General features: G+C 40.1%; 1 long non-coding RNA gene across 2 annotated transcripts in view, besides 1 other annotated feature; it reads left to right on the top strand.

Moving 5' to 3' along the window:
- Window positions 4,821-5,793: an enhancer, noted in NCBI's record as "H3K27ac-H3K4me1 hESC enhancer chr12:70861588-70862560 (GRCh37/hg19 assembly coordinates)". NCBI's record gives its function as "activates a minimal SCP1, AML or CMV promoter by ChIP-STARR-seq in naive H9 embryonic stem cells {active_cell/tissue: H9 hESC(naive)}" and the evidence as "EXISTENCE:reporter gene assay evidence [ECO:0000049][PMID:30033119]".
- Window positions 5,092-18,946, top strand: part of PTPRB-AS1 (PTPRB antisense RNA 1) — a 103,372-nt gene continuing 89,517 nt past the window's right edge. For both annotated transcript variants that reach the window (XR_001749196.2, XR_007063360.1), the window contains exon 1: window positions 5,092-5,340. This is a non-coding gene — a long non-coding RNA (PTPRB antisense RNA 1). The remainder of the gene's footprint in view (window positions 5,341-18,946) is intronic.

Below are 18,946 nucleotides of genomic sequence, written 5' to 3' on the forward strand. Positions count from 1 at the left end.
TCTCCTGGGACTGAAGACGAGACTTCGACTGATGTCAATGCTCAAGATTTAGCAGAGGTCAGTACCTTTTTCAATCCCAGGAGTCAAAGTCCTGTAACTTAACAGCACAAGGTTTAGTTAATAGGATATTTATACAACAGAAAGTCCTATCATGCTAACATGTCACAAATTAAAACACTGTGATTTGGTGTCCAGTAGTTATTGCCTGAAGCACTTCAAACTATTGTATTAAAGTGATTAGGTTACTCCTTGCATATATCTAATTGCTAGGATTCTAGTGACAAAACTGTGACCAAAAGCATCAAAAAGTGATAGGTTCCTTTTGTAGAGCAGCAGCATAAAAGCCTGAGTATGCAGAACTCCATCCCACTTTCCCATTCAAAAGCAAACTCCAGATTCCAAAGAATATTGGGGGTAAACAGTATTACAAAATAATATCAGTTTATCTAATTCAAATTTCCCATGGCTATATGGACACACACAAAAACAATCACCAAAACACAATCCAACTGCTGCAGCAACAAACAAGCCCCAAAAGTGTCCAAACTGAAAGAGTTAGGGTGCTTCATCTCTTCATTGGTTGAGCTTGATCAACCTACAAACAGAAATTCCTTCAGAATTTCTCAGTTGAGAGGAGCCAATCTCTCTGTCTGGTACCCACAAAAGATACTCACTTGCCTGGACACACACATACAACACGATTACAAACAAGACCCCAAGAATGTTTATACTGAAACAGCCAGGGTGCTTCCCTCATGTCAGTTGGGCTTGTTCAACCTGCAAATGAAAATTACTGAAAAAATTTCCCGAATTGAGAGGAATAGACCCTGCTGCCTGGGCACACAAAGAACTCTCACCTATCCAGATGTGGATGCCAAATCTCAAAGGCAGTTCTTCCTGGGTAATCAGGAATGCAACTGGGGCCAGCAGCAGCAGCAGGGCCGGAGAGAAACAGAAACTCACCTCCAGCCAAAATTGGGTGGGCAGCTGCTTAGCAGGGCTTCTGGGCCTCCTGGCCCATGGCAGCTGAGCACAAGCAATGCATTGTTGGATAGGAAACCAAAATCTGTTACTAAAACACCAGGGGTTTGGTGTAAGTCCTGCTGCTCACCACACAGAAAGCCGATGACTGAGACAATGAGTATTGCCAAGGAAGAAGGCTTTCATCGGGTGCTGCAGCTGAGGAGATGGGAGATCAGTGTCAAATCCATCTCCCTGAGTGACTAAAATTAGGGATTTTTATAGCAGGGGAGAAATGTAACTGTGTAGGGGAAAACAGGAACTCAGGAGGGGTAAGAAAGAAATCTTGATGAATGAGGGCTTAATGTCTCGTCTGGATGCTGTGACTTGGTGAGTTTCATTCTTTGATACTTTTTGAGAGGTCTACGGTTCCTTTTTTGAGGAAGGAACTCAGATAAAACAAATGTAAGTTTCAAGATTTAAAACTAAAAGTGTCAATTTCTATGTTTATTTTGAAAAACTGTCTATGTGACTACTGGGTCTGTTTCAGTGTCAGCAGGGCTGCATTCCTTCTGGAGGCTCTAGGAAAGAATCCATCTCCTTGCTTTTTGCAGCTTCTAGAGGCCACCTGCAGTCCTTGGCTCATTTCCCCATTCCTCTATCTTCAAAGCCAACAAAGTTGGGCCAAGTTCTTCTCACACTGCTATCTTTCTGGTTCACTATCTTCTGCCTCCCTCTTCAATTTACAAGGACTCTAGTGATTACATTCAGCTGTAACTTCCCCTCCATCTTCTGAAGGTTCACAGAAAAATTAACTCATAAAGAGCAGATAAATTGGAGAAAAGACATACAAATTCATTCACATGACCATGAGGGCAAATCACAGAATGGTTATCTATCCCTCAACTGGGTTCAGAAGCCTAAATAGTATCTTGAGGTTACAGAAAGAATGGGGGCTTGGATCCTGGCAAAACACATTATGGGAGGGGGGAAAAGAGGAATTCTGTTGAGGGGCAGTAAATCTTTCTGAGGAAAATGAATGGATTAGAGAACAGAGGTTCACTTGTAAATTAGTTCTCTTTGGAATTTTTATGAACCTGAGAGACAGACATTATCTTGTGAAAGGGTCTGCTGAGGTGTGGTTACATTCATGGTCATCCTTTCTGCAATAGATAATGAGATAGAAAGGAAGGCAAGAAAAAAAAAAACTATTGTTCTCCTTGGCGTGTCCTTCTGGTCTTTATGTAGATAGGGGAAAAGTCTCTTACAGTGTGTATTGATCTCTAAGAGCCTTTAATTCAAAATACTCATTATACCAAGTGATCATATTTTGGAGTAAAGTTCCTTGTGCTCCTTTATTCCACCTGTCTGGAACTTCCTTGCAAGTTTCATGCATTAAAAGCTGAGTTGGTGGCTGTGAAGTGAGAAATCAGATTAGTAGTCGAGTAGCAAGAGATAGGCAAAGGAGGGGGAAAAAAACAATTTGGGATAAGCAGAAAAGAGCAAATTTAAATATATTGTCCCATATCTGCCTGAATCAGTCTCTTAGTCCTGAGAATAGATCAGTTCAGTTAAACAGCTGTGTCCCATTTCAGGAGATGGCATTGCAGATGGGCTAAGCCTCTATATATAATGCAGGCAAACATCTTTAATAAAAAGGCATTTCTATGGAAACAGAATAAAAACAAAGGTTAATGTCTGGAGTAGTCTATAAACTAAGTTTTCTATAAACTAGCTTTTCTAGTTTATAGACTGCTCCAGAGTCTGTGAAGCATATTCAGATTATAGTGGCAATCTGACAGATATTCCCTGGATTATAGTTTGAATCAGGTGTTCAAGTCAACTTTTGGAATAGTTCATACACCAAAAGGCATGAAGGCCATTTATAAATAAGTTGCTGCGGTGATTTCTCCTGAAGTTTATATCAGGTTGTCTAGCTTCAGTTTGCAGGGCTTCAAGAAAAGAAGATTTAATTTCTAGTGATTTCAAATCAGTAAAAGGGGAGGAAATTTTGAAAACATTAGTTTGGAGACTTGTAGCAAGGAAGAAATTTAGAATTTAGTCCAAATTGTAGGCAAATAATAAAAACTTTAAAACAATGGAAAGGCTAGAACCTAATTACAGGTGTACTATGACAGAGCAGGAGCATCGCCATCTTGGACAAGCCCCTCATTCTAAAGTTCACCTTAATAAAAAACCACCTAAATCCAAAGGACATCAGCCTAATGGCTAAGGTCAGCATGACCATAAACCACAAATAACATCTCCAACCAGAAACATTCCAAACTCCTCCCTGACCAGAGACATGCCAGACCAGAGATAAACCCTGCTCTGGCCTGGAAGATGCTAGCCCTGAGATAACCCCGTTCCAGGCTGGAAAGATGTCTGTCCTAAGATAACCTCCCCTCCTCCCAGAAAGATTCTGCCATAAACTTTTCCACACACATAAACATTCATAAGCCCCCTCACCCTAAAACCAATATATACTCCTAGTCTGCAAGAGAAAGGGCTTCTGACCAAAATGGGCCGGGGATACCTCTCAGGTTTGATCTAAAGTAAACCTGTCTTCAACTGCAAGCTGTGTTTTGTGTTCCTTTCCTCTTTCTTTAACTCTTACATACTATAGTTTTCTTTTGACTTTTTTTTTTTTTTTTTTTTTTTTTTTTTTTTTTTGTCAGAGACAGGGTCTTATTCTATTGCCCAGGCTGGAGTGCAATGGTGTGATCATGGCTCACTGTAGTCTTGACCTCCTGGGCACAAATGATTCTGCCACCTCTGCCTCCTGAGTAGCTGGAGACAACGGGCACATGCCAGGACACCTGGCTAGTACTTTTTTTTATTTTTGTAAAGACGGTGGTCTCACTATGTTGCTTAGGCTGGGTCTTGAACTTCTGGCCTCAAGTGATCCTCCCACCTTGACCTCCCAAAATGCTGGGATTACAGGTGTCAGCCACTACACCCAGCTATAGTTTTCTTTTCGAAACATAGTTTTTCTCTCCAGTTCCTCATTTCTACCAAAGGCAAATCACAGTAGGACAAATCTAAGTTTTAGTCTTTTTATGCTTGGCCTGTGCTCCTTTGGGACACACACAGATAATTCAGGATAATCTCTCTATCTCAGGGCCAGCTGAGTACCAGCCTTAATTTTATCTGCAGTATTGGTTCTCCTTTGCAATGTAATCTAAATAGTCACAGGTTCCAAGGGTTAGGATGAGAACATCTTTGGCGGCCCATTATTCTGCCTGCCACATGAGGATACTAAAATATAATGAGGATAAAAATAGTACCTACTCACAGCATTGTACTGAGGAAAAGTACATTCTAGAGTTCTTACTTATCTTTGAGTAAGAATTTAAATATGAGCATTTATTATTATTAATAACAATCTATATTAGTTTGCTAGGGCTGCCTTAACAAACTACTGCAAAGTGAGTGGCTTAAAACAACAGGAGTATATTGTCTGTCAGTCCTGGAGGCCAGAAGCCTGAGATCAAGGTGTCATCAGCGTGGTTCCTTCTGAGGGCTTTGAGGGAAGAATCTATTCCATGCCTCTACCCTAGCTTCTGGCAGTTTATTGGCAATCTTTATGTTCCTTGGCTTGTAGATGCATCACTTGATCTCTGCCTTCATGTTCACATGGTGTTTTCCCTGTGTGCATGTCTGTGTCCAATTTTCCCCTTTTTATAAGGACACCAGACACATTGGATTGAGCTCATTCTACTTCAGGGTGACGTCATCTTAATTAGTTACATCTACAATAATCCTCTTCTCAAATAAGGTCACATTCTGAGGCGCTGGGGGCCAGGACTTTAACATATGAACTTTTGGGATATTTGGCTTAACCCATAACACAATCCAAAGGATAGGACTAGGACCATAGGATGGAAGGCATAGGAAGAGCATCATCATTTTCAGCTAATTTTTAAATTTTTTTTTAGAGATGTCTCTCTCTCTCTCTCCTGCCACCATGTGAAAAAGGTGCTTGCTTCCCAACTTTGCCTTCCACCTTGATTGTGAGGCAGCCAGGTGGGTGAGCGTCCCTGCAGAAACTCCAACCTGCCGGCCCACTGAGGTGGAGCCCCGGGAGGTTCACACCCTTTGCAGCAGGGAGGAGCCTGGCCCCTCCTCTTCCTGTTTGGAACCTGGGATTCAAATGGCCTGGCAGGAAGTGCTCTAGCAGAGGGACTCTGGCCTTGCAAGAGTCCCTATTTCCCCCTTTTTTTTTGCTTTTCACACAGTAAAACCCTGCTTTACTTCCCTTTGAGTCGTCTGTGAGCCTAAATTTTTGTGGCTGTGGGAAGGACAAGAACCCCATCTTTAGCTGAAATAAGGAAAAGTTCCGCAACATTTTTGGCACACACCCTGGGGGCTCCGGAAGTGGTGAGTGAAATGGTAACTCAAAACCTCTCACTGTTGCTTCTGAGCCTTTTCATCCTCAAACTTCTGAAGGTGGGGGAAACCATGTCCCCACCCCACCCCTCTTCACTCCTGGGCCTTTTCATGTCCTCCTTCCTTTTTTGGGACCGACTGGGGAACAGAAGCTCCCTTCTCCCTTATCTCCTTACCTCTCCCTTACCTCCAGGGGCTGAGACGCATGGACCAAGGGTCCGGCATAGCTGGTTGGCAGTCCCCACCCCACAGAACTGCTGGAGCGTTCTCCTTTCCCAGTCAAGGGGTTTTACTCCATCTGACAGTAATTGAGCTTTTCTCCTGGTGGAGGAACCACTTGCCTAAGAATAAGAGATTCTTCCCCAGGCACTTTAAAACTGTTCCTTTTCTTTCCCCTTCTCCACCCTGTCAACAGTTAACCTTTACAGTTTTTTCCCCCCATTTACTAGGCCAGGCCCCCAAACTATCACTGTTTAAATTTTCTGTAAACCTTTAATTATGAAAAAGGATTTGTGGGGCTAGTCTTAGGCTGTGGCCAATCTGGTGTGTTTTGCATGTCTATATGGTTTGTGCTACAAGCCTCCACCTTGCTTTAAATCCTGGGGGCATGGCCAGTAACAGCTTGGCAAGGCTTTGTTTAGCAACCCTGCCTTAGGGGATGAGCCCTCTCTGGTTCCTTATCTGCATGTTTTTTTTTTTCTTTCTTTCTTTTTTTTTTTTTTCTTTGTTGCCCAGGCTGGAGTGCAATGGCGTGTTCTTGGCTCACCACAACCTCCGCCTCCTGGGTTCAAGCGATTCTCCTGCCTCAGCCTCCCGAGTAGCTGGGATTACAGGCATGCACCACCAGGCCTGGCTAATTTTGTATTTTTGTAGAGACGGGGTTTCTCCATGTTGGTTAGGCTGGTTGCGAAGTCCCAACCTCAGCTGATCCGCCTGCCCCGGCCTCCCAAAGTGCTGGGATTACAGGCGGGAGCCACCGCGCCCAGCCAATCTGCATGTTTTCTTAACCCTGTCTCTTAAAGAACCCTACCTAGCGACTGGGCTTTCTCCTGTGTGTGTGTGTGTTGCGTGTAATGTCTAAAAAGAGCTCTGATTAATTTGGCCCAAAGACAAGCGCTTCCCTTTTTAAAGGGAAGTTAAAAGCTGTGGAGCCTTTCAGTTCATGTAACTTTAATTTTTGAGAAATAAAAACAGCCCTAAAGACTATTGGTAAAATGCAGGTCACATGCAAGGTTTGCTAAGAGTTTTGAGGTTATGAACTGCTTTTTGGGTTTTGAGAACTATTTGACTTGACGGTTTCACAATTGGTAAGGCCTGGGGACGTAGGGACCTAACCATACCCTTAATAAAGAAGGCAAACCTTGGCTACACTTAGCACACAATTAATACAACTAACCAATTTTTACGTTAAAATTAAAAATTGCTAGAAGTTAATTGAAACTACTAGAAATAGATTTACATGCAAGCTGTGTAAGAAAAGTAAAATGCATTTATTTGTAAAATGTTTTATATAAGAAGGCATGGAAATGTAAACTCTTGCCTAGGGTTAAATGATTGCTTTGAGTTAAATTAGGAAAAAGCTGAAGGTTCAAATAAGTAGTGGAAGAATTGTGGAAATTAATCTTGCAGAAGAGGTTCTCTGTGTGAACATATAGACTAAATTCAAAAACCGGTATTATATGGTTTTTCTGTAAATTGAGCATTGAAATAAAAGCATAACATGGTTTTCCTAAGGTGCTAATCTGCTCTTTGGCAAAATTTGTAAAGGATTATAAAAGGTTTTTTTGCTTCCTTAAAACTTCTGTGTCATTTTGGCAAAATAAATAGTTTCTGGTAATCTGGAACTCTATTTAAGTGCTTTAAACATATTTAACAGGTTTCCCTAAATCGAACTTCAGTTTCAAAATCGTCTTCCCTGGCACCTGGCTTTTTGAATACTTCAGAGGGCCCCTGAAGTGTCCAGAAAAGAGCGGTAAACAGGATTATTTGACATGTTTAGGTACATGGGATTGCCAAAATGATGTTCAATCTGCTTTAGGTTATATCTTGGTAAATAATGCTAACATATGTTCTAAAATTGTGTGGGATTTCTAAAATTCTAATGTCTGAGTATATCCTATCAATTATAATTAAGGTTGTTACGTTATCGTACATCACAGAGATAACCAAACTTCTTTGTCATTTGTGTTTCTGACTGTAACTACTCTGGACATTTTGCTATTCACAGACAGTTGTTGTCTTCTTTTAATCATTTTCAAAAGATAGTTTATAATAAGCTGTAGGACTTTGACAGGTGCTCTCAAATACAGTCTTCTGATAACTTTGGATATTATGACATTGGAATACAGGAAAATGTATAGGACTCATGAAGAGCTGAAATGCTCACAAATATCAAGCAAAACAAGAGTTAACTAAATGGACTGAACTCAGGAACCTGAAGCAACATTTTTGCTTTTGCTTGGAATATTGTTAACCCATGTTTTGTTTTGCAGAGTCAAGGAAACTTATTTTGAACTATTTAGAACCTTTAATAATTTTATAAGGTATGCTGCTATGAACACAATTTGAAGCATGTTTGTTTGTCTCTGCCTGTTTCCTCTAGAATTTGGAAACTATCTGTGGGTATTCTTATGGCAATATAGTTGTTTGCATCAGTGCAATAAAAATCCATTTTTCTTTTGCAACAGTGTACAATTACAGAAAGTAGTTATTTTACCAAGGCTTTGACTGGAAGGGTATGTTTCCCTTTAAGGGGTCAAGCTTGACTTGCAGAGCCAATAAAAGCCCCATGGAAAAACTGGACTCATATCCTTGTCTACACAGTCCCTGTACATTGTTCCTGACCTGTGGTCAGTAAAGAATGTTACTTTCTAACAGGTCCAGGAGCTCCAAGTTTATCTTGGGACCTTAAGAGGAAAGGATCACCCAACTCACAGGTGTTTGAGGATACAAACCCATAGTTGGGCTCAACTTTAAAAGGTCTTCTGTAAGATTTTTTGTGGAATAAACTTCCATCAAAGCCAATCCAAAAGGCTTATGTAGAAATAGTTATTCTTGCTGCACTTTATGCAAATAATCAGGCCAAGTACAAGACTAAAGTCTATTTTGCAAACCACTCAGTGCTATTATAATTTTTTTTATAACAAACATGAGGACTGGAGAGGGAGAAATCATGTTTCAAAACTTATCACATATTTATCATTAAATTCTAAACTCACTAGTTGTTTTAAAGTTTTCACCTACATTTTAGATTAACCCTACTTGTTCCTGTGAACCAATCAGCAATCTCTGGCTGCTGTTCAGAAAGAACAAAAGGGATGGGTAATGTAAAAATCTGGATCAATATTCTAGTTCTGAGCAATTATCCTGCAAATCCTGCAAGGCTGTGGGAATAAACAGGATGCCCAATACTCAGAGGTTCCCTTTTGGGAAAGTAAGACCCAGGGAACTAACAAAAGTCAGGCATCATGTACCCAAATTCTAGCAAGCATAACTATAGCTACAAGTTATCTGGGTGTGTCACAAGACATCCTTTCCTCTCCCTTGTTGGAAGAGGACTCAATTCCACAGCTTCACCTTAGCATTTGGCTTGTGATAAGGAGTCCATGCAACCCCCCTGAGATACATTTTTGTCTCAGATTCAATTCTAAGCTTCGGGTCAAAGCCCTAGAAAGAAAACTGGATCTAATTCTGTGAAGAAAGTCATTGGTAGCTTGATGGGGATGGCATTGAATCTATAAATTACCTTGGGCAGTATGGCCATTTTCACGATATTGATCTTCCTATCCATGAGCATGGAATGTTCTTCCATTTGTTTGTGTCCTCTCTTATTTCGTAGAGCAGTGGTTTGTAGTTCTTGAAGAGGTCCTTCACATCCCTTGTAAGTTGTATTCCTAGGTATTTTATTCTCTTTGTAGTAATTGTGAATGGGAGTTCACTCATGATTTGACTCTCTGTCTGTTATTGGTGTATAAGAATACTTGTGATTTTTGCACATTGATTTTGTATCCTGAGACTTTGCTGAAGTTGCCTATCAGCTTAAGGAGATTTTGGGCTGAGACAATGGGGTTTTCTAAATATACAATCATGTCATCTGCAAACAGGGACAGTTTGACTTCCTCTTTTCCTAATTAAATACCCTTTATTTCTTTCTCCTGCCTGATTGCCCTGGCCAGAACTTCCAACACTATGTTGAATAGGAGTGGTGAGAGAGGGCATCCCTGTCTTATGCCAGTTTTCAAAGGAAATGCTTCCAGTTTTTGCCCATTCAGTATGATATTGGCTGTGGGTTTGTCATAAATAGCTCTTATTATTTTGAGATACGTCCCATCAATACCTAATATATTGAGAGTTTTTAGCATGAAGGGCTGTTGAATTTTGTCAGAGGCCTTTTCTACATCTATTGAGATAATCGTGGTTTTTGTCTTTGTTTCTGTTTATATGCTGGATTACATTTATTGATTTGTGTATGTTGAACCAGCCTTGCATCCCAGGGATGAAGCCCATTTGTTCATGGTGGATAAGCTTTTTGATATGCTGCTGGATTCGGTTTGCCTGTATTTTATTGAGGATTTTTGCATCGATGTTCATCAGGGAGGGATGTTGGTCTAAAATTCTCTTTTTTTGTTGTGTCTCTGCCAGGTTTTGGTATCAGGATGATGCTGGCCTCATAAAATGAGTTAGGGAGGATTCCCTCTTTTTCTATTGATTGGAATAGTTTCAGAAGGAATGGTACCAGCTCCTCCTTGTACCTCTGGTAGAATTCGGTTGTAAATCCGTCTGGTACTGGACTTTTTATGGTTGGTAGGCTATTAATTATTGCCTCAATTTCAGAGCCTGTTATTGGTCTATTCAGGGATTCAGCTTCTTCCTGGTTTAGTCTTGGGAGGGTGTATGTGTCCAGGAATTTTTTCATTTCTTCTAGATTTTCTAGTTTATTTGCATAGAAGTGTTTATAATATTCTCTGATGGTAGTTTGTATTGCTGTGGGATCAGTGGTGATATCCCCTTTATCATTTTTTATTGTGTCTATTTGATTCTTCTCTTTTCTTCTTTATTAGTCTTGCTAGCGGTCTGTCAATTTTGTTGATCCTTTCAAAAAACCAGGTCCTGAATTCATTGATTTTTTTTGAAGGGTTTTTTGTGTCTCTATCTCCTTCAGTTCTGCTCTGATCTTAGTTATTTCTTGCCTTCTGCTAGCTTTTGAATGTGTTTGCTCTTGCTTCTCTAGTTCTTTTAATTGTGATGTTAGGTTGTCAATTTTAGATCTTTCCTGCTTTCTCTTGTGGGCTTTTATTGCTATAAATTTCCCTCTACACACTGCTTTAAATGTGTCCCAGAGATTCTGGTATGTTGTGTCTTTGTTCTCATTGGTTTCAAAGAACATCTTTATTTCTGCCTTCATTTCGTTATGTACCCAGTAGTCATTCAGGAGCAGGTTGTTCAGTTTCCATGTAGTTGAGCGGTTTTGAGTGAGTTTCTTAATCCTGAGTTCTAGTTTGACTGCACTGTGGTCTGAGAGACAGTTTGTTATAATTTCTGTTCTTTTACATTTGCTGAGGAGTGCTTTACTTCCAACTATGTGGTCAATTTTAGAATAAGTGTGATGTGGTGCTGAGAAGAATGTATATTCTGTTGATTTGGGGTGGAGAGTTCTGTAGATGTCTATTAGGTCTGCTTGGTGCAGAGCTGAGTTCAATTCCTGGATATCCTTGTTAACTTTCTGTCTCATTGATCTGTCTAATGTTGACAGTGGGGTGTTAAAGCCTCCCATTATTATTGTGTGGGAGTCTAAGTCTCTTTGTAGGTCTCTAAGGACTTGCTTTATGAATCTGGGTTCTCCCGTATTGGGTGCATATATATTTAGGATAGTTAGGTCTTCTTGTTGAATTGATCCCTTTACCATTATGTAACGGCCTTCTTTGTCTCTTTTGATCTTTGTTGGTTTAAAGTTTGTTTTATCAGAGACTAGGATTGCACCCCCTGCCTTTTTTTGTTTTCCATTTGCTTGGTAGATGTTCCTCCATCTACTTTAAAGTTCATATGGAACCAAAAAAGAGCCTGCATTGCCAAGACAATCCTAAGCCAGAAGAACAAAGCTGGAGGCATCACGCTACCTGACTTCAAACTATACTACAAGGCTACAGTAACCAAAACAGCATGGTACTGGTACCAAAACAGAGATATAGACCAATGGAACAGAACAGAGCCCTCAGAAATAGTACCACACATCTACAACCATCTGATCTTTGACAAACCTGACAAAAGCAATGGGGAAAGGATTCCCTATTTAATAAATGGTGCTGGGAAGACTGGCTAGCCATATGTAGAAAGCTGAAACTAGATCCCTTCCTTACACCTTATACAAAAATTAATTCAAGAGGGATTAAAGACTTAAATGTTAGACCTGAAACCATAAAAACTGTAGAAGAAAACCTAGGCAATAGCATTCAGGACATAGGCAGGGGCAAGGACTTTGTGTCTAAAACACCAAAAGCAATGGCAACAAAAGCCAAAATTGACAAATGGGATCTAATTAAACTAAAGAGCTTCTGCACAGCAAAAGAAACTACCATCAGAGTGAACAGGCAACCTACAGAATGGGAGAAAATTTCTGCAATCTACTCATATGACAAAAGGCTAATATCCAGAATCTACAAAGAACTCAAACAAATTTACAAGAAAAAAACAAACAACCCCATTAACAAGTGGGTGAAGGATATGAACAGACACTTCTCAAAAGAAGACATTTCTGCAGCCAACAGACACATGAAAAAATGCTCATCATCACTGGCCATCAGAGAAATGCAAATCAAAACCACAGTGGGATACCATTTCATACCAGTTAGAATGGCAATCACTAAAAAGTCAGGAAACAACAGGTGTTGGAGAGGATGTGGAGAAATAGGAACACTTTTACACTGTTGGTTGGGCTGTAAACTAGTTCAACCATTGTGGAAGACAGTGTGGCGATTCCTCAAGGATCTAGAACTAGAAATACCATTTGACCCAGCCATCCCATTACTGGATCTATACCCAAAGGATTATAAATCATGCTGCTATGAAGATGCATGCACACGTATGTTTCTTGTGGCACTATTCACAATAGCAAAGACTTGGAACCAACCCAAATGCCCATCAATGATAGACTGGATTAAGAAAATGTGGCACATATACACCATGGAATACCATGCAGCCATAAAAAAGGATGAGTTCATGTCCTTTGTAGGGACATGGATGAAGCTGAGAAACCATCATTTTCAGCAAACTATCACAAGGACAAAAAACCAAACACCACACGTTCTCACTTATAGGTGGGAATTGAACAATGAGAATGCCTGGACACAGAAAGGGAAACATCACACACCGGGGCCTGTCGTGGGGTAGTGGGAGGGGGTAGGGATAGCATTAGGAGATACACCTAATGTAAATGATGAGTTAATGGGTACAGCACACCAACATGGCACATGTATACATATGTAAGAAACCTTTACGTTGTACACATGTACCCTAGAATAAAAAACAAACAAACAAACAAAAAACTGGATCTAAGGGATCCAGAGGCAGAGAGCAACAGAAGTTAAAAGGCACAGCGCAGGTAAGCGTGGCTGATTCCTGATGAGTAAGCCAACCCCAAGCTTCCTGTTGCATTGATAAAGGCCACATTAGTATCCATGGCATAAATGAGGTCTAGGGAACTCCAGGGCTACTGACAGTAGGTGGGAAAGAGACATAAGTGAGAGTGGATAATTCCATTCTCTAGCCCCCGCCGCTTCATGGGTTTAAGCCACTTTGGCACTCGTGGTGGTGTCTGCCAAGGTCGCCGGGACTCAGGGATGCAAGGATGGAAGACAGAAAGAGGATGCTTTTCCCTCTCTCTCTTACTCTGGGTATCTGCTAGGAAGAGAAGAGAACCAGGTATGCCTGCTCCCCTCTTTCTAGGTGGGTAGCTATTCTCCTTCAGTCTGTACCCCTTTCAAATGCATGCTGAACCATTGGGACTTCTTTTAAAAATGCCTTCCTTTTCCTTTCTTCCTCTTGGTTCTCTCTTCACTGATAAGAAATTGTGTCTCTGTACTATGGGATGCTTCCCTCAGATGCATCCTCCAAACTGAAAAGAGTTAATTTCCCAGACCTTAAATTGGTTGGCTTAGAATTGAGCTTAGGGGAAAGGAACCCAGAAGCCCAACATGCTGGTAAAAAGGTAAATTTTTTTTTCATGTCAGGCTTTTGGCCTCCCTTTCCCTGTACAAACTGGTAAAAGGCCTCAGAATTTTTGAGCTGTTTTGTTTTGATAGATGTTTTTAATAACCCGGTTTGTCTGTTCTTGCCTTCAGGCCATCAGACTCCAAATGGTCATGCAACCGGAGCCTCCAACAATAACCCCTTTTGCCAGGAACCCTTAGACAGAACTCTGAGGGAGCTCTGACTGCTGTTTCCCCAAAACATTGCCCCGTGTCAGCAGGAAGCAGTTAAGATTGGTCTTCGTCCTTATCCTTCATCTATTGGCAGTTAGATGTACTTCTTATAGAAGGAGTAATGAGACAGTCAGGTGGGAGGGGGGTCCCTGAAGAAACTCCAACCAGCCTGCCCTCTGAGGTGGAGCCTCAGGAAGTTCACGCCCTTTGTAGCGAGGAGGAGCCTGGTCCCTCCTCTTCCTGTGTGGAACCTGGGATTCGAAAGGTGGGTGGGAAGCGCTCTAGCAGAGGGACTCTGGCCTTGCAAGAGTCCTTGTTTCCCCGCTTTTTCTCCTCTTTTCGCCCAATAAAACCCTGCTTTACTCACCCTTTAAACCATCTGCAAGCCTAAATTTTTGTGGCTGTGGGATGTACAAGAACCCCATCCTTAGCTAAACTAAGGAAAAGTCCTGCAACAATTGTAAGCTTCCTGAGGCCTCCCAGTCATGGTTTCTGTTAAGTCTGTGGAACTCTGAGTCAATTAAACCTCTTTTCTTCATAAATTACCCAGTCTCAGGTAGTTCTTTATAGTAGTGTGAAAACAAACTAATACAAGATCCTTATAGGTTCTTGATACTAAATCTTTGTAGGATACGTAGTTTGCAAATATTTTCTCCCATTCTATAGGTTGTCTCTTTACTCTGTTGATAGTTTCTTTTGCTATGCAGAAGCTCTTTAGTGTAATAAGATCCCATTTGTCAGTTTTTGTTTTTGTAGCAGTTGCTTTTGAGGGCTCAGTCATAAATTCTTTCCCAAGGCCAATGTACAGAGTGGTATTTCCTAGGTTTTCTTCTAGGATTCTTACAGTTGGAGGTCTTACATTTAAATCTTTAATTCATCTTGAGTTAATTTATATATATGGTGAAAGGTATGAATCCAGTTTCATTCTTCTGCATATGGTTAGCTAGCTATCCCAGTGCCATTTATTAAATAGTGAGTCCTTTCTCCATTGTTTGTTTTTGTTGACTTCGTCAAAGATCAGATGGCTGTAGATATGCAGCTTTACTTCTGGGTTCTCTGTTCTGTTCCATTGATCTGTTTGTTTTTGTGACAGTACTCTGCTGTTTTGGTTACTGTAGCCTTATAGTATAGTTTGAAATTGGGTAATGTGATGCCTGTGGCTTTGTTCTTTTTGTTAGGATTGCTTTGGCAATTTGGGCTCTTTTTTTGGTTACATATGAAATTTAGAATAGTTTTTTTCCTCATTCTGTGAAAAATAATGTTGATAATTTGATAGGAATTGTGTTGAATCCAAAGATTACTTTGGCCAGTAGAGCCACTTTAGCGATACTAACTTTTCCAGTCCATGATCATGGTGTTTCCATTTGTTTGTGTCATCTGTGATTTCTTTCAGCAGTGTTTTGTCATTTTCCTTGTAGAGATCGTTCACCTCCTTGGTTAGATGTATTCCTAGATGATTTTTTTGGTGGCTATTGTAAATAGGATTGCATTCTTGATTTGGCTCTCAGCTTGAATGTTATTGGTGTATAGAAATGCTAGTGATTTTTGTACATTGATTTTGTGTCCTGAAATGTTACTAATTTATCAGTTCCAGGAGGCTTTTGGTGATGTCTACTGGGTTTTCTAGGTATCGAATTACATAGTCTGAAGAGAGAGAGTTTGACTTCCTCTCTTCCTCTTTGCATGCCTTTTAGTTCTTTCTCTTGCCTGTTTGCTTTGCCTAGGACTTCCAGTACTATGTTGAATAGAAGTGGTAAAAGTGGACATCCTTGTCTTGTTCCAGTTCCCAAGGGAAATGCTTCCTGATTCTTCTTTTTCAGTATGTTTGCTATGCGTTTGTCATAGATGTCTCTTATTATTTTGAGGCATGCTCCTTCAACTCCTAGTTTGTTAAGGATTTTTAACTTAAAGGGATGTGGGTTTTATTGAAGGGATTTTCTGCATCTATAGAGATGATCATATGACTTTTGTTTTTAATTCTGTTTATGTGGTGAAATCACATTTATTGATTTGCATGTGTTGAACCAAACTTGCATCCCAGGAATGAAGCCTACTTGATCATGGTGGATAAGCTTTTTGATGTGCTGCTGAATTTGATTTCTAGTATTTTGTTGAGGAGTTTTGCATCTATGTTCATAAGGGATATTTGCCTGAAGTTTTCTTTTTTCATTGTGTCTCTGCCAGGTTTTGGTATCTGAGTGATGCTGGCTTCATAAAATGAGTTAGGGAGGAGTTCTTCTTCCCTAATTTTTTGGAATAGTTGCAGTAGGATTGGTGCCAGCTGTTCTTTGTATGTCTGGTAGAATTCGGTTGTGAATCCATCTGGTCTAGGACCTTTTTAGCTGGTAGGGTTTTTTAAATTACTGATTCAATTTTGTAACTAAATATTGGTCTGTTCAGGGTTTCAATTTCTTACTGATTTAATCTTGTGAGGTTTTGTGTTTCCCGGAATTTATCTATTTTCTAGTTTGGGTGCAGGGAGGTGTTCATAATATTCTCTGAGAATCTTTTGTATTTCCGTGGTATTGGTTGTAATGTCATCTTTGTCATTTCTGATTATGCTTATTTGGATCTTCTCTCTTTTTTTCTTTGTTTATCTAGCTAGTGGTCTATCACTCTTGTTTATCCTTTTGAAAAACCAATTTTTTGTTTTGTTGATTATTTTATGGATTTGGGGGTCTCAGTTTTATTCAGTTCTCCTCTGATTTTAGTTATTTTATTCTACTAGCTTTGGGGGTTAGTGAATATGGTTTGGCTCTGTGTCCCCACCCAAATCGCACTCAAACTAATTCTCACCATTGCGGGAGGGACCTGGTGGGAGGCAATTGGATCATGGGGGCAGATATCCCCATAGCTGTTCCTGTGACAGTGAGTGTGTTCTCATGTGATCTGGTTGTTTAAAAGTGTGTAGCATTTCCCCCTTCACTCTCCCTCTCTTGCCACCATGTGAAGATATGTTTGCTTCTCCTTTGCCCGTCTGCCATGATTGTAAGTTTCCTGAGGCCTCCCTAAGCCATTTCTCCTGTATGGCCAGTGGAACTGTGAGTCAATTAAGTGCCTCTTTTCTTTATAAATTACCCAGTCTCAGGTAGTTCTTTATAGCAGTGTGAGAACAGACTAATACAGTTAGTTTGTTGTTTTTCTATTTCTTCTAAATGTGATGTTAGATCATTAGTGATCTAACATCTTGAATTCCCACATGTTGTGAAAGGGACCTGGTTGGAGGTAATTGACTCATGGGGGCTGGTCTTTTCCGTGCTGTTCTCATGATAGTGAATAAGTTACACAAGAGCTGATGGTTTCAAAAATGGGAGTTTCCCTACACAAGCTCTCTCTGCCTGCCACCATTCATGTAAGACATGACTTGCTCCTCCTTGCCTTCCACCGTGATTGTGGGGTCTCCACATCTAGGTGGAACTGTAAACCCAATAAACCTCTTTCCTTTGTAAATTGCCCAGTCTTGGGTATGTCTTTATCAGCAGTGTGATAACAGACTAATAGTTTGGGATCTTTGTAATTTTTTGAAGTGGGTATTGATTGCATAAACTTTCCTCTTACTACTATTTTTCCTGCATCCCAGATTGATTGCTTTTAAAAAGTGTGAACGTTTTTTCCCTGATACATGGTTATCTATTTAATAAGATTAAATCTTTATCAAATAATTTCATGAAATAACTTTTAATATTTTGGTTCATTATTTTTAGTAACGTCAGGGTATATTATAAATCTATTGATTTAGAAACTATGAATGGAGCCCAACCATTTTTATTTTAATAGTAAGCCCTCCAGGTAATTCTGATGCACATTAAAGTTTTAGAACTACTAGTATACAATCTGAGCACACTTGCTGTGAAGCCAGATTGCCTAGGTCTGAATTCTGGCTTTGCCATTTATTGCCAGTGACCTCTGTAAGTCTTAGTTTCGTATCTCATAGGATTCTTGGAGGGATTAGTCCATTAAAATGTATATAAAGGCAATGAGTGATGCTGGATACTTTTGAAATGTTTCCATTAGTATTGTATATTATTATTATAACTATTATATATGGAATCAATCCAAATTTGTTTGCTTGGTGCCTTGAAAACCCTGCTCTCAAGCAGCTCACAGTCCAGCAGGGAAAACAGAACAAATAATTTCAATGAAATGTGCCATGGGCATGAGAAATGTCCTGTAGGTACAGACATAATGCCAGGGAGCAGGAAGTTTATGGAGTTAAGTTAGGGAAGAAGTCAGCAGCAGGTTTTAGAGGCAAAGAGAGGGTCACTGCCTTTTTTAAAATTTAATTTTTTTTTTTTTTTTAGTCTTCTGGTATGGTAAAAAATTTTAAAGTAAAAAAGGTGTGTAATCAGGGTTACAAAAATTGTGTAATTTACAAAATAAAGGATTTATTTTGTAAAATTTCTTTATAATGCATTATCGGTAGATTGATTTAATTATGGGACTGAGTTTAAAGTTATATGGAGCATGTCTTCATTTCCCATTACTGTCTGCATCTTTGTGACTCTACATTTAACTTTATTTGTAGATAAATTGAAGGGCTATATTCACAGCCCTTTGTGAGGGTGAGGCCTGGGCTAATAACCTTCCCTTTTCCCACCACCTGTCACCCCCAGGATGGGTCCTGGGTGTTAGAGTAGAGACGAAAACCATTTTAGGGGAGAAAATGGAATATACAGGAGCAAAAATATAAAAAACAGCAATGTGTATTCTGGAAGTCACAAGTGATTTAAGTCAATGAAGCATAAATTGCAAGGAGAGGAGTGGTTACTGCTAAAGCTGGGGAGAAAACTACAGGCCAAGTCATGACAGGCCTCATATGCTCATCAAGGAGCCTGGGTTTTGTAAATAATTGGGTGTCACTGGTCAATTTCTGAAGCATCATGGTCAGTTTTATATTTTAGATAAATCATTCTGGTGGCAGTGTGGAAGGTGGATGGAAGTGCCAGGCAGAGATACAGAGACCACATAAAGGACTTCTGGGTTTAGGAGAGATTATGGGACCTGAGCTCGGGCAGGACAGTGATATGGAGAAGGGTGGGCTGTCTAGAAGATTAATAGAAACAGTGGCACTTAAAGGCTTCCTGTTCAAGAGGTGTTAAGTAGGAAGATAATTGATCTTGAGACTTGTCCAAAATCACACAGCTTCTGACTGGGTCTAGAATCTACCACTCTACCTTCAA

This window comes from Homo sapiens, chromosome 12, assembly GCF_000001405.40.
Source record: "Homo sapiens chromosome 12, GRCh38.p14 Primary Assembly".
Classification (NCBI taxonomy): Eukaryota; Metazoa; Chordata; class Mammalia; order Primates; family Hominidae; genus Homo; species Homo sapiens.